Source organism: Homo sapiens, chromosome 13 (genome assembly GCF_000001405.40).
Source record: "Homo sapiens chromosome 13, GRCh38.p14 Primary Assembly".
In the NCBI taxonomy this organism is placed as follows: domain Eukaryota; kingdom Metazoa; phylum Chordata; class Mammalia; order Primates; family Hominidae; genus Homo; species Homo sapiens.
The window spans coordinates 25610666-25625427 of NC_000013.11; the positions used below are offsets into that span (position 1 = coordinate 25610666).

At 38.4% G+C, this 14762-nt stretch overlaps 1 protein-coding gene across 13 annotated transcripts in view; it reads left to right on the forward strand.

Annotated features, from left to right (window-relative positions):
- The window catches only part of ATP8A2 (ATPase phospholipid transporting 8A2), a 653878-nt gene that overhangs the window by 238692 nt on the left and 400424 nt on the right, over nucleotides 1–14762 (forward strand). Inside the window, exon 25 of one of the 13 annotated variants that reach the window (XM_017020625.3) lies at nucleotides 13607–13688. The exons of the other annotated variants lie outside the window; for them this stretch is intronic. Within the exon in view, the coding sequence (XP_016876114.1) occupies nucleotides 13607–13651 (45 nt within the window). The 3' untranslated portion in view covers nucleotides 13652–13688. Of the gene's footprint in view, nucleotides 1–13606; nucleotides 13689–14762 lie in introns of those variants that run through there. 13 annotated transcript variants of the gene reach the window in all.

Genomic DNA, 14762 nt, shown 5'->3' on the forward strand with positions numbered 1-14762 from the left:
TTTATGGGAATTGCATTGAATTTGTAGATTGCTTTGGCAGGGTGGTCATTTCCATTCGTGGGATGTATTTCCATTTGTTTGTGTTGTTTACGATTTCTTTCAGCAGTGTTTTGTATTTGGGATGTATTTCCATTTGTTTGTGTTGTTTATAATTTCTTTTAGCAGTGTTTATATTTTTCCTTGTAGAGGTCTCTCACTTCCTTGGTTAGGTATATTCCTTTTTTTTTTTTTTTTTGCAGCTATTGTAGAAGGGGTTGAGTTCTTGATTTGATTCTCACCTTAGTCGCTGTTGGTGTATAGAAGAACTACTGATTTCTGTACATTAATTTTGTATCCTGAAACTTTGCTGAAATCATTTGTCAGTTCTAGGGGCTTTTTGGATGAGTCTTAAGGGTTTTCTAGGTATATGATCATATCATCAGCAAACAGTGACAGTTTGACTTCCTCTTTACTGATTTGGATGCCCTTTATTTCTTTCTCTTTTCTGATTGCTCTGGCTAGGACTTCCAGTACTATGTTGAATAGAAGTGGTGAAAGTGGGCATTCTTGTCTTGTTCCAGTTCTCAGGGGGAATGCTTTCAACTTTTCTCCATTTGGTATAATATTTTTGACTGTGGGTTTGTCATAGATGACTTTACATTGAGGTATGTCCCTTGTATGCCGATTTTGCTGAGGGTTTTAATCATAAAGGGATGGTGGATTTTGTCAAAGACTTTTTCTGCATCTATTTAGATGATCATGTGATTTTTGTTTTTAATTCTGTTTATGTGGTGTATCACATTTATTAACTTCCATATGTAAAATCATCCCTGCGTTCCTGGTATGAAACCCACTTGATCAAGGTGTGTTAACTTTTTGATATGCTGTTGGATTTGGTTAGCTAGCATTTTGTTAAGGATGTTTGCATCTATGTTCATCAGGGATATTGTTCTGTAGTTTTCTCTTTTTGTTATGTCCTTTCCTCATTTTGGTATTAGGGTGACACTGGCTTTATAGAATGATTTAGGGAGGGTTCTCTATCTTGTGGAATTGTGTCAATAGGATTGGTACCAATGCTTTGAATGTCTAATAGAATTCAGCTGTGAATATATCTGGTCCTGGGCTTATTTTTTGTTGGCAATTTTTAAAATTACCATTTTAATGTCACTGCTTGTTATTGGTCTTTTCACGGTTTCTATTTATTCCTGGTTTAATCTAGGAGGGTTGTATTTTTCCAGTAATTTATCTATCTCCTCTAAGTTTTCCAGTTTATACATGTAAAGGTGTTCATAGTAGCCTTGAATGATCTTTTGTATTTCTGTGGTATCAGTTGTAATAACTCCCGTTTCATTTCTAATTGAACTTAGTTGGAAATTCTCTCTTCTTTTCTTGGTTAGTCTTGAGAATGGTCTATCAATTTTATTTATCTTTTCAAAGAACCAGCTTTTCATTTCATTTATCTTTTGTATTTTTTTGTTTCAATTTTATTTAGTTATGCTCTGATCTTGGTTATTTCTTTTTTTCTGCTGGGTTTGGGTTTGGTTTGTTCTTGTTTCTCTGGTTCCTTGGGTTGTGAGCTTAGATGGTCTATTTGTGCTCTTTCAGACGTTTTGATGTAGGCATTTAATGCTATGAACTTTCCTCTTAGCACTGCCTTTGTCGTATCCCAGAGGTTTTGATAGGTTGTACCACTGTTATTATTCAGTTCAAATAATTTTTAAATTTTTCTCTTGATTTCATTGTTGACCCAATGATCATTCAGTAGCAGGTTATTTAATTTCCTTATATTTGTTTGGTTTTGAGGGTTCCTTTTGAAGTTGACTTCCCATTTTATTCCAGTGTGGCCTGAGAGAGTACTTGATATAGTTTCAGTTTTCTTAAATTTACTGATACTTGTTTTGTGGCCTATCATATGGTCTAGCTTGGAGAATGTTCCAAGTGCTGATGAATAGAATTTATATCCTGCAGTTGTTGGGTAGAATGTTTTGTAAATAAGTGTTAAGTCCATTTGTTCTGGGGTATAGTTTAAGTACATTGTTTCTTTGTTGAATTTCTGTCTTGATGATCTGTCTAATGCTGTCAGTGGAGTATTGAAGTCGCCACTATTATTGTGTTGCCATCTATCTCATTTCTTAGGTCTAGTAGTAATTGTTTTATAAATTTGGGAGCTCCAGTGTTAGGTGCATATATATTTAGGATTGTGATATTTTCCTGTTGGACAATCCCTTTTATCATTATATAATGTTCCTCTTTGTCTTTTTACACTGCGATTGCTTTAAAGTTTGTTTGGTCTGATGTAAGAATAGCTACTTCTGCATGCTTTTGGTGTCTGTTTTTTTCTACCCCTTTACCTTAAGTTCATGTGAGTCCTTGCATGTTAGGGGAGTCTCTTAAAGACAGCAGATACTTGGTTGGTGAATTCTTATCCATTCTGCCATTCTGTATATTTTAGGTGGAGCATATATGCCATTTACATTCAACGTTAGCATTGAGATGTAAGGTACTATTCTATTCATCATGCTATTTGTTACCTGAATACCTTATTTTATTGTGTTACTGTTTGATAGGTCCTATGAGATTCAGGCTTTAAGGAGGTTCTATTTTGTTGTATTTTGAGGATTTGTTTTAAGATTTAGAGCTTCTTTTAGAAGTTCTTGGCTGGGCATGGTGGCTCACTCCTGTAATCCCAGCACTTTGGAAGACCAAGGCAGGCGGGGTCAAGAGATCAAGACCATCCTGGCCAACATGGTGAAACCTCGTCTCTACTAAAAATACAAAAATTAGCTTGGTGTGGTGGTGTGCACCTGTAGTCCCAGCTACTTGGGAGGCTGAGGCAGGAGAATTGCTTGAAGCTGGGAGGTGGAGGTTGCCATGAGCCAAGATTGTGCCACTGCACTCCAGCCTGGAGACAGAGCAAGACTCCATCTCAAAAAAACAAAACAAAAAAACAAACAAACACAAAAAAAGAAGTTCTTGTAGTGCTGGATTGGTAGTGGCAAATTCTCTCAGCATTTTTTTGTCTGAAAAAGACTATCTTTCCTTCATTTATGAAGCTTAGTTTCTCTGGATACAAAATTATTGACTGATAATTGTCTTGTTTAAGGAGCTAAAGATAGGACCCCAATCTCTTTTAGAGATTGAAGTTCTTTTGTCTACTTGTTCAATTCTGTTGCTGAGAGATTCCAGTGTGTTTTGTATTTCTTTAAGTGTGTCTTTCATTTCCAGAGGTTGTGATTGTAGAGTTTCTGCTGAGAAATCTGCTGTTAATCTGATAGGGTTTCCTTCATAGGTTACCTGATGCTTTTGCCTCACAGCTCTTAAGATTCTTTTCTTTGTCTTGACTTTAGATAACCTGATGACTGTGTACCTAGGCGATGATCTTTTTGCAGTGAATTTCCCAGGTATTCTTTGAGCTTCCTGTAGTCTAGATCTCTAGCAAAGCCGGAGAAGTTTTCCTCAATTATTCCCTCAAATACGTTTTCTAAAGTTTCAGATTTTTCTTCTTCTTTGGGTACACCGATTATTCTTAGGTTTGGTCGTTTAACATAATACAAAACTTCTTGGAGGCTTTGTTCATTTTTTTGTATTGTTGGATTGTGTTAATTTGAAAGCTTTGTCTTCAAGCTCTGAAGTTCTTTTGTCTACTTGTTCAATTTTGTTGCTGAGATGTTCCAGTATATTTTGTATTTCTTTAAGTGTGTCCTTCATTTTTAGAGGTTGTGATTTTTTTTATTTATGTTGTCTATTTCTCTGGGGATTTTTCTGTCCATATCCTGTAACATTTTCAAAATTTCTTTAAGTTGGTATTCACCTTTCTCTGGTGCCTCCTTGAGTAGCTAAATAAGCAACCTTCTGAAGGTTGAGAGATTTTTTTCTTGGTTTGGATCCATTGCTATGAGCTAGTGTGATCTTTTGGAGGTGTTAAAGGACATCGTTTTGTCATATTACCTGAACTATTTTTCTGGTTCCTTCTCATGTGGGCACATTATGTGAGAGGGAAGATCTGGGGCTCAAGGGCTACTGTTCAGATTCTTTTGTCCCATGGGGTGTTCTCTTGATGTGGTGCTCTCCGCCTTTTCCTAGGCATGGGGCTTCCTGAGACCTGAACTGCAGTTATTGTTATTTCTCTTCTGGATCTAGCCACCCAGCAGAGCTGCCTGGCTCCAGGCTGCCACTGGGGAATGTCTACAAAGAGTCCTGTGATGTGGACTGTCTACAGGTCTCTCAGCCATGGATACCAGCACCTGCTTTGTTGGAGGTAGCAAGGGAGTGAAGTGGACTCTGTGAGGGTACTTGGTTGTATTTTTGTTTAGTGCACTTGTTGGCCTCCAGCCAGGAGGTGGCACTTTCAAGAGACCATCGGCTTTGGTAGTATAGGGGGATACAAGCTTGCCCTAGGGTCACCTGGATAAGTATGGGGGTTTCTCAGGCAGTGGGCAGGGCCATAGAGCTCCGAAGAGATTATGTCCTTTGTCTTCGGCTACCAGGGTGGGTAGAGAAAGACCATCAGGTGAGGGCAAGGTTAGGTGTGTCTGAGCTCAGACTGTCCTTGGGCAGGGCTTGCTTCGGCTGCTGTGGTGGATGGAGATGTGGTTTCCAGGCCAGTGGAGTTATCTTCCCAGGGGGATTATGGCTGCCTCTGCTATGTCATGCAGGTCACCAGGGAAGTTGGGGAATGCTGGCAGTTACAGGCTTCACCTAGCTCAGCTACCATGAAGCCCGAAAGGCTGGTCTCATTCCTACCGTATGTCCCCCAAATGGCACTAAGTTTATTTCCAGGCAGTGGGTGAGCAGGGCTGAGAACTTGCCCCAGGCTACCAGCCTCTCGCTGAGAGGGTTTTCAGGTTTCACACTTCCCCATCTGCCATGGCTTCTGTGCTCCTGTCTGCACTCCTGATTCAACCCTTCTTCCGGGTTCTGTCCAGGAAACTTCGGGTTCACTTGAAATTATTACAAATTCAGCTGGAGGTCTTTTCCCTGTGGTCTTTCCCTGATTCCACTGGTAGCCCTCCCCAAGGATTCCTGAGACAAAACCAGAAATGTGTACTCTGGGGACTGAGAGATCCCACAGGACTCTTCCCAATTCTTCTTGTACCTGTGTTTTTCGCTCAGCTCTCTAAATTTGCCTCAGCTCCAGGTAAGGTCAAATCCTCTTCTCATAATCTGGACCTTCAGGTTCCCCTGTGGTTCAGGGGCAGACAGTTCCCCTTTCACATTTTCACACTTTGGGCACTCACAGTTTTTTAGCTGTCTCCTGAAGCTCGCAGCAGTAATCCACTCTCTTCCAAGGGTCTGTGGATTCTCTCGACTCTCCTGGTATGTTCCTGTGGTAGTTCTTGGAGCAAAAGTTCACAATATGAGTCTCCACATGCTGCTTTGTTTGTCCAAGTGGGAACTGCAAGTTAGTCCTGCCTCCTGTCTGTGATTTTCTCCTATACCCCAGTTATCTTATTAGATGCAGACCAAAAAACCCCCAAATAATTAACATTCATTTATCATTGACCACCCCCAACAACACACTTTCAATGCTGGAATTGAACTTTCTGAAACTGATAAGGTACATCTACCAAACCCATGCCACCCAACAATCTTCCAGTCCTTCTTCCTAGATGCATAAATACGAATCTTTTCCTTATTTCTATCCTTTAGTGACCACTTAATTTTCTTTTCTTTCTTTCTTTCTTTTTTTTTTTTTTTTTTTTTTGAGACAGAGTGTTGCTGTTGTCACCCAGTCTGGAGTGCAGTGGCACCATCTCGGCTCACTGCAACCTCCGCCTCCTGGGTTCAAGTGATTCTCCTGCCTCAGCCTCCCAAGTAACTGGGATTACAGGCACCCGCCACCATGCACAGATAATTTTGTTATTTTTAGTAGAAATGGGGTTTCACCATGTTGGCCAGGCTAGTCTCGAACTCCTGACCTCAGGCAATCCACCCGCCTCAGCCTCCCAAAGTGCTGGGATTATAGGCGTGAACCATGACCACTTAATTTTCAAGAGTAGTATGTGGTACTGCTTAGCTCATCAGATTCTCCAAGTCCCTAATAATTTCCTATTTGGGAGCTGGAGAGGAGATGATACTTCTAGGATGCTTCAATTTCAGCAACATTCATTTTCTTTTTCTGAGTCATGAGCACCAGGGTTCACCCTAAAATATTAGCCAGATCTCATAGGCTGAATTAGGTCACAGGGTACAAAGTGTTGTGCAGACTGGTGCATGTGGCTCCCATTGAATATAATAACAGCCCTTTGACACGTGTGGCAGCTGCTGCCAGAGCCTCCAGCCAGGATCTGGGCTAGAGGGTGGTACATGTATAATTTAAGTAATAACATAAAGATTAAATATGTAATTGGAAATGATTTCATAGAATAAAACTGAAGCCTGGTTTATCTTGAAAAGAAATTATTGCAGACATGTAAATAGCTTACTGTAAAGTTTAATTACAGTTTTAGTAGCAGACAAGACTCAATTGATAAATCTCCACAAGGAGAGTCAAGTAGGACTGAAAATCTCACTGCACTTGCATGAAAACAACAAAAGCTAAAATGCCAAACCGAATGCAAGCTTTGTTCATTTCCTCAAAGTTAATTGTTTTGACTATAATCATACAGTTATTATTTAATGGCCATACACAATTTATTTATCATTTTCTAAGAGATTAATTTGAAGGTCTTTTTCTTGTTATTTATGTGGAATTTACAGGAAAGTCAGATATTAGATTGTAGTTTTAGGGGGTGATTATTTTTATAACTCAATTGATTTAAATGTTAGGTTTTGTCATTTCGTTGAATCCATCAGTTATCATCAGTATTCATTATTTCAGTTCCCTCTGAGAAATGAGAGGATAGTTTTGTGAGTAGAAAATGATTTGAAGAGTTTGGCAGAATAAAACTGAAAACTGATTCATCTGACAAAACTCTTTTAAGTTCGGTACAGAAACAAGGACTAGATAGTTGTCTCACTAACTCCATTCTTGGTGTTCCCTTGACTTTGCTGTTTATTGTGTTTTTTTGTTAGAATTTCTTGAATTTATTAATTTTTGTTACAGTTCCATCATGAAACTTACTGAATTATGTAGATTTAAATTGTTTTCCATGGTATTTCTTTATTAATGTAGAATTTGAAAAATTCACGCAGTTCTGGGGAGACTATTTTAACTTATACCCTCTCCTCCTTCCTTTTTCATCTGAGCTTCCTCTCATCGATCTTAATATTTACACCTAAAATCTTATGAGTTGAGACAATATAGAAATTAATTATTGATCTGTAAATTATGTGAAAGTTCCCAACATAGAAGCATTTTATATATATTAAATCAGTGTTAGAATTCGTGGCTAGTTACCCGTAGTGTAAAATTGTATTTAGGAGCTGAAAGACCGTGAGTGTGAATGGATGTTTAGGTGGCAATTGGAAAGATTTCCCAGTATTCTGAAGAACATAAGCTATTTGACCTATTTGACATAAGTCTTATGCTTCCTTTTACTTAGATTTCTGGTTTGCTTTCTTTTGGTACATGTTATACCTGATACTGTTCTACAGCGGTCTTCAGTAATTTTTTAAATCTTGAAATAGAATGGAAAGATTGAGAGTGACCTGCTGAGGTAACTGGACCAGAACAGGTTAGGAGTGCGTGTTTATAAACACGAGGGAGGGTCTGAGTAGGAGGACCTGAGGAATATGTAGGGCAGTGTGGAAAGGGAAGACATGGAAATGACATTGATACAGCTGGTTGTTCATGCCGGGTGTTGTCACTGCCCCGAGACTGCCTCATTGCCATGAGGAAAGATTTGTCATTTTCGGGAAGAAGGTGTGGAGCGGCTGGGAGGCAGCACACAATAGCCCTCCTGTGGGTAGGATGTTGGCTAGCCTTGGGTTTACCTCAGTGAAGACCCATGTTTAGGATGCTTGAAAACATCTCATTAGCAACTTTGTCTGTTTTAAGCTCTGGAGCAGTGAAGAATTCTATTAATGGCAGTAAACTTTTTTTTTTTTTAAGAAGGAAACCCAATTATGTCCCTCCATTAAAGTTCTGATAGTTAGACTTTTTTTTTTTTTTTTTCCCAGCAAGATCTCTATGTAGGGTAGGGAGATTTCATGCTACTGGGAGCAAGATGATGCTTAGTAGTAGTTGATGCCTTAAGACTTTGCAGGGTCACATAGAATAGCATAGTCCTGGGCTACATCCAACATGCATTTCAATCAGTTCTTGGGTGGTGGAAAAGGGCTTGCTCAATCCGCTTCTTAGCATTGAAATGAAAGAACTCCCAGTTCTCAGACTGGCAATGATGTGATTAAAAACTTGAACTTGGGTTTCTGTTTTCCAGTCGTGGTAGGCTAGGTTACCCTGACCACTTCTCCTGCTGAAACTAAGTAAGATTGTTGAATAAAATAGTTAAAAATACATTTTTTTCTAGCGTTGAAGAAAGGAGAGTAAGGGATTCTCAGGTAAACTGAAGGAGAGCAGGAACTCAGAGAGGCGAGAACGGCCTTGGATGCAGAAGCACCTTTTGTGGAGGCTTTTCAGGGAGCAGAGGACAGGGTCTACAGTTTAGGGAGCTTCCTCCCATTAAGCTGGGGGCCTTGCAGGGGCACACCTGCAGGGTAAGGTGACAGAAGACAGCCAGGTTTCCTGAGGATTTGAATTCTGGGTTCTCCTTACTCATATGGACTCAGGACCCTCAGACTCTACATTTCTCAAAAGCCAATGCAGCTCCTCTTCATAGGAGGGCACTTTTATTCTGTATGCTGTTAATTCACTTTCAAAAAATCATAAAGCACAAGAAAGAAGACATCTCCAGCTATTAGCACGAAAAGACACTATAAATAAACTACAAAAATTGAAGATACTCGAATAACCAGATATAGAATATAAAACAACCATGCTATGTTAAAAAAACAGACAGTAACCCTAGGGATATCTGTGGAGACCAGCAAACTATAAAATGTAGCACAGCAGATGTGAGAAATGAGTACATAGAACTTCTGGAAATGAAAAATATCACAACAAATTAAAAATTCTAAGGAAAGGTTGAATAGTATATTAGTTAATACTCTAAGAAGAATTAGGGAAGTAGTAGGTAAATAAGAAATTATCTAGAACAGAGGTCAACAAACGTTTTTCTGTAAAGGATCTGCTAGTGAATATTTTTGGTTTTGTGGACCACATATGGTCTCTATTGCATAGCCTTTCCTATTTTAATTTTGTTTTTACAGACCTTTAAAAATGTGAAAACCGTTCTTAGATTACAGGCTATGGGATATATTTGGCCCACGGGCCGTAGTTTACTGACCCCAATCTATATATACAAAGAAGAGAGGAGTCACGAGAAAACCCAGAAGGGCAGTTGAGGCATACAGAGTAGAATGAGGAAGTTTACCGAGCTTGATCAGCCTAAAGGCAAGAGAAAAAATAGGGCAGAGTAAATATTTGAGGAAATAATAGCTAGGGATTTTCTGAAGGTGGTAAAAAGATACTAATCTGTAGATTCAGAAAGTCCAGTAAGTCCTAACAAGGATCAGTAAATACATTCTCTCCACGATTCATCATAGTGAAACTTCAGGACAGCAGACACTAAGAGAAGGTGGGGAGTAGGGGATGGGTACAGCATTGCTTCCTCAGAGAGAGAGGTGACCTCTCACCAGCAACAGAGGGACCAGAACACAGCAGAATGCCATTTTCAATGCTGAAAGAAAATACCTGCCAACCCAGAGCTTTATAGGCAGAAAAATCTTTGAAGAATGGGGTTAAAATCAAAACACTCACAAAAGTTAAGAGCTGAGAGTTTGCTACCAGCCAACCCATACTAAAGGAAATTTTAAAGGTTGCATGTTGTACGGAAAAAAATATTCTTGGGTGGAAGATCTAAGCTGTTCAAAGTATAAAAAGCAAAGAAAGTGGGAAATCAGTGATAAAACTTAGATTAGTATTGAATATATGGAACATCATCTTGAGGGGTTTTAAAAATATTGACTTGAAATATAATACAATTGCCTGTGTAAATTGAGAAGAGTGTGAAATAGATATGTTTAAAAATCCTCATATTACCTTGGAAAATAATTTTCAAGCACAGTTTTACAGTTGATAGAAATATGAAATTAAGACAAAATTCTTTACTACATTTTAAGTCGAATAATTGAACAAAATGTTAGAAATAGGCACAATGTAGCTTGCTGCTTGATTCTTGTAATCAAGGGGGAAGTGGAGATCAATGAACTAATGGTGACATTTCACTGCTTTTTAGTAAAATTGTATGAAGCCATAGAGAAAGGGAAGGAGAGACTTAAATAATAAGAAAAACCTCAACAGATCTGTGATGCTTATGATGGGAAGTTCTTTTGAGAGAAGTGGAGTAGTGGGTGATTGGGCCTAGGAGTGGGAGTGGAAGGATTATTGATGTTGCCGTTGGGCCTCCATGGTATCACTCCCATGCTGTTGGATTTATTGGTCTAAGTGTCTTCCTCACTAGACTCTGCATTCCCAGGGAAGTCATCTTATCCTAGGTACCTTTGTGTCTGGCTCTTCACCAGTGCAGAAGAAGGTACCTTGAAATGTGTTAAAAAATGTTTACTTAGTAACTAGGAAAGATGCTCCTAATGTAACTTGCTTTGTGAACAAATACGTATGAAATCTACATAAGTGTGTTAAGTGTCAGATTTCATCATCTCTGGGCTGAGTGTTGGTGGAAACATTAGAGGATAAATTAGCTATGAGATATGTTCTGTTTCTGATTTAATCTTTTCATTTTTCTCTTTTTGTTTTTCTCAACCTTTTCTGCTACTTAGTGCTTTCTTGCCTCTGTCTCAGATTTTTATGAGCCAAATATTCTTATATTCTATAATCTGTGTTCTTCCCAACCAGAGGTGTTATCTGCAGAGACTTTTTTTATCAGACTGAAATCCGTCCTGCCTTTTTAGAATGAGCTCATTTTTCTTCACTCCAGCTAATGCTGACATTTACCAAATCCAGTCCTGATTAAGTAAGCTTCCATCACCAAGAAAACTGGAAAAAAGGTAGGATTCATAAGACAGTGGATTCCCATCCAGTGCTTGTAGCTCTGTTATCCTCTTTAGAAGTATCTGAGGGTTAACAAAATTGGAAATTGTAGAGGAAACAAATTTGCACTGAATTTAGACCTAATTTACCTGAAAATGGGATTCCTTTAAAATCCACAGTGAGCCCACAGTTTTGTCCTGTGACTGAGATTCAGTCACACCTTGACCATGTATTTATTTCATAAATTAAGCCTTCAGGCCAGGCATGGTGGCTCACACCTGTAGTCCCAGCACTTTGGGAAGCTGAGGTGGGTGGATCACCTGAGGTCAGGAGTTTGAGACCAGCCTGGACAACATGGTGAAACCCCATCTCTACTAAAAACAGACAGTACTAAAAAACATCTCTGCTAAAAACATAAAACACTACCTGGGCATGGTGGTGCGCACCTGTAATCCCAGCTACTTGGGAGGCTGAGGCAGGAGAATTGCTTGAACCCGGGAGGTGGAGGTTGCAGTGAGCCGAGATGGCACCATTGCACTCCAGCTTAGGCAACAGAGCAAGACTCTGTCTCAAAAAAAAAAAAAAAAAATTAAGCCTTCAAGAAATGTATATGCCAAGTTGGAGATGTGTCAATAGAGCTAAGCAGATTTTTGGTAACTGCCAAATTAGTTTCTTATGGAGAGGGGAAGCAAAGAAATGGAAATAGTAACAATAAGATAAGCAACAGTGAGAGGAATGATGAGGAGCAGAAGGAAGGAGAAGGCTACCACATGAAAGTGGGAAAGTTGAGATCTGAAATTATTATATTTTGAAACCTAGAAAAGTAATGAATCTCATTCTGTCCTCTCTCCTCTGCCCTCCCATACTTTGGGAAATGGTGAAATAATCTGAAACAGAAATGTTTATACAGGGTGAGCATCCCCAGTCCAAAAATCCAAAATCCGAAATGCCCCAAAACCTGAAACTTTTTAAGTGCTGACAGGAGGCCACAAATAGAAAATTCCATATCTGACCTCATGTGACAGGTCACAGTCAAAATGCAGGCACACAACACATAGTTTCTTCAGCATCTCCAGGGGAATAAAAGACCCTCTTAGCTCCCTTTAGCTGATACTTGGGTCCCATCCCCAAGATATCTCATAATGTATATGCAAATATTCCAAAATTCAGAAAAATCCCAAATCTGCAACCCTCTGGTCCCAAGCATTTCAGATAAGGGATACTCAACATGTAGTACTTATTGTAGGGTTATTTCAGATGTGCTGTCATATTAGTTAAAGTGAAAAATTGATTTGCAAAGTTCTGATCATTTTAGAATTGGTGTTTAAGTCCAGTAGAAATCTTCATAGTTAAATATATTTAATATTTTGTTATAAATTAAGTAATGAGCAACTGAATTTTAAAGAATATATTCTTAGAGGCACCCTCACTTCAAAAGAAATTGAATTTCAACAAAATGCCAGGACTGGCCACGCACAGTAGCTCATGCCTGTAATCTCAGCACTTTGGGAGGCCAAGGCGGGAGGATCGCTTGAGGCCAGGAATTCAAGACCACCTGGGCAACATAGGGAGACTTTGTCATTACTAAAAGTAAAATAAAAATTTTAAAAAACTAGCTGGGTATGGTGATGTGAGCCTGTAGTGCCAGCTACTTGGGAGACTGAGGTGGAAGGATCACTTGAGCCCAGGAGTTTGAGGTTGTAGTGAGCTATGGTCATGCCACTGCATTCCAGCCTGGGCAACAGAGTGAGACTTAGTCTCCACAATAGCAACAACAAAAAGCCAGGACTATGATTTTTTTTTTTCAAAAGTTCTTCTCAGTGTCAGCTCAGAAGTGATAAAAGGTTTTCCACCTTTTTTTGTGTGTTTTTTATTAAGAAGAAAAGATTTGAAAGGTAAATAGAAAAATCTTGTAAATTCACCAAATCACCAAATACGTGTTTTGAAACATAGTAGTTTTTCTAATTTATCAGTCTCATTTTCTAATTCTATCCTTATGACCAATATCTCTGCCTTTGCTCTGGATTTATCACCTTCATGGACTTTTGGACATGGGAGAATTTTATCCTGATGGAAGTAAAACTGCACGGACTTCTCTTGTGTTATAGAAATATGTGTGTGTGTGTATACGTGTATATATACACATGCATATAGAGATATATATGCATATCTAGATGAGCATAAATGCATAAATTATGCATAGATTATAAATGCATAAATTATGCATAGATATATGCATATACCTATATATGCATATATCTATAATGCATGTATGTATGTGTGTGCATATATATACATGCATAAATATAAATATACATATATCTATATTGTGTGTGTGTGTGTGAGAATGGAGTGCCATCCTTCCCCTTCCTGGGCTGTAAGCTTGTTTGTTAGTTAAGACTTCATGGTAGAAACTGGTGTATTCATCTTTAAAATATTTTGCACATTGGTGGTGCTTAAACGGCTTACTGAATTGGACTCTCCAAGAAGGGTATTTCTTAATAGAAAACTGTCTTGCTTTATTTGTTTTCGTTTACACTTAACTAGTTGACATAACCCTCAGGACAAGGACTGTGGGCATTTCTTTCCTTGCTGGTCTTACAAGCTACTGATATATGGCATTTATGACTTTGGCAGAGATGGTGGGTTAAATCAAGGGGCCAGGATTCCTTCATCACCTAAGGACTTGTGGTTTATAAATACAGAAGAGGAAAAGGAGACAAATGAAATTACAGAAATGGCCTCAGCTTGATTGAGTTATAACCTTCACTGTCTGATTTTTATAACTCTAGGCAAGTACTCTACCTTTTTTATTTCACTTCAATGTAATTTATATTTTGCTAAGTTGTTAGGTGGCCCAGTTAACCTTAACAAGATACTTAATGTTAACTAGTTTTCTGAATATTTTCAATGGTGCCTCTATTAGAGAGTATTGTATGTAGGTGAACAATGTATTTCCCAAGCACAAATTACAGTATTTCCTCAAATTATATGTTCTAAAGGCAATTGAGGTATGTATGTAATTATGTGTTAATCAAGTTAGTGATTTGCTATTAATTGGGTAAGTACAAGTTGTGTGAGTTACACTTGCACAGGGGTGGTCTTGTCTCTGAGCTGCTTTCAGAAAAATAGTTCAACCAAGTAAATTGATTAGTACAATTTTCCTATGACCAATCCTCTTAAGTTTTTCATTTCTATTTCAACTCCTGTAAGTTTAACAAGATTATCATTTTAAAAGAAATTCCTTCCATCTGCAGATGTGTGTTGCTTCTGATATATTTGAATCAGCTGAAATCTAAAAGTTTTTTACATAGGAATTATCTCTAAAGATATAAAATGGTCTTATTTTTCCTTAATGGTGTTAGGAAAACCTAATAGCAACAATGGATTGTGCATGATCAATTTTATCTAGTCACATTTTGGGGGATCTTTAAGCAAGAATAGGCAACAAGAAAATGTGCATTTAGTGTTGGAAGGGATGAGAGATTAGTTGTGGATCTGAGGATTATTCTTGCCTCAACAAGTGGAGAATTGGAGATACTCTTCATGAGGAGTGACACTCAAGTTTGAGCCCCGTAATCAAGAGACAGGAGAAATGTTAATAAGAGAAAACCTTTTATTTTGTCAGATCCCTTTTTGAGGAAGAACAAATGCAGTTTTTGAAAGCATTAAGCATTTAGAAAAGGGTGCAGAAATGTAGTAGGACAAAATGTGCCTTAAAACATACAGCCTCTTTATGTCCAAAGCTTCCACACAACGTGAAGTAATTGTCTGAAATTACAAGTGCTACTAT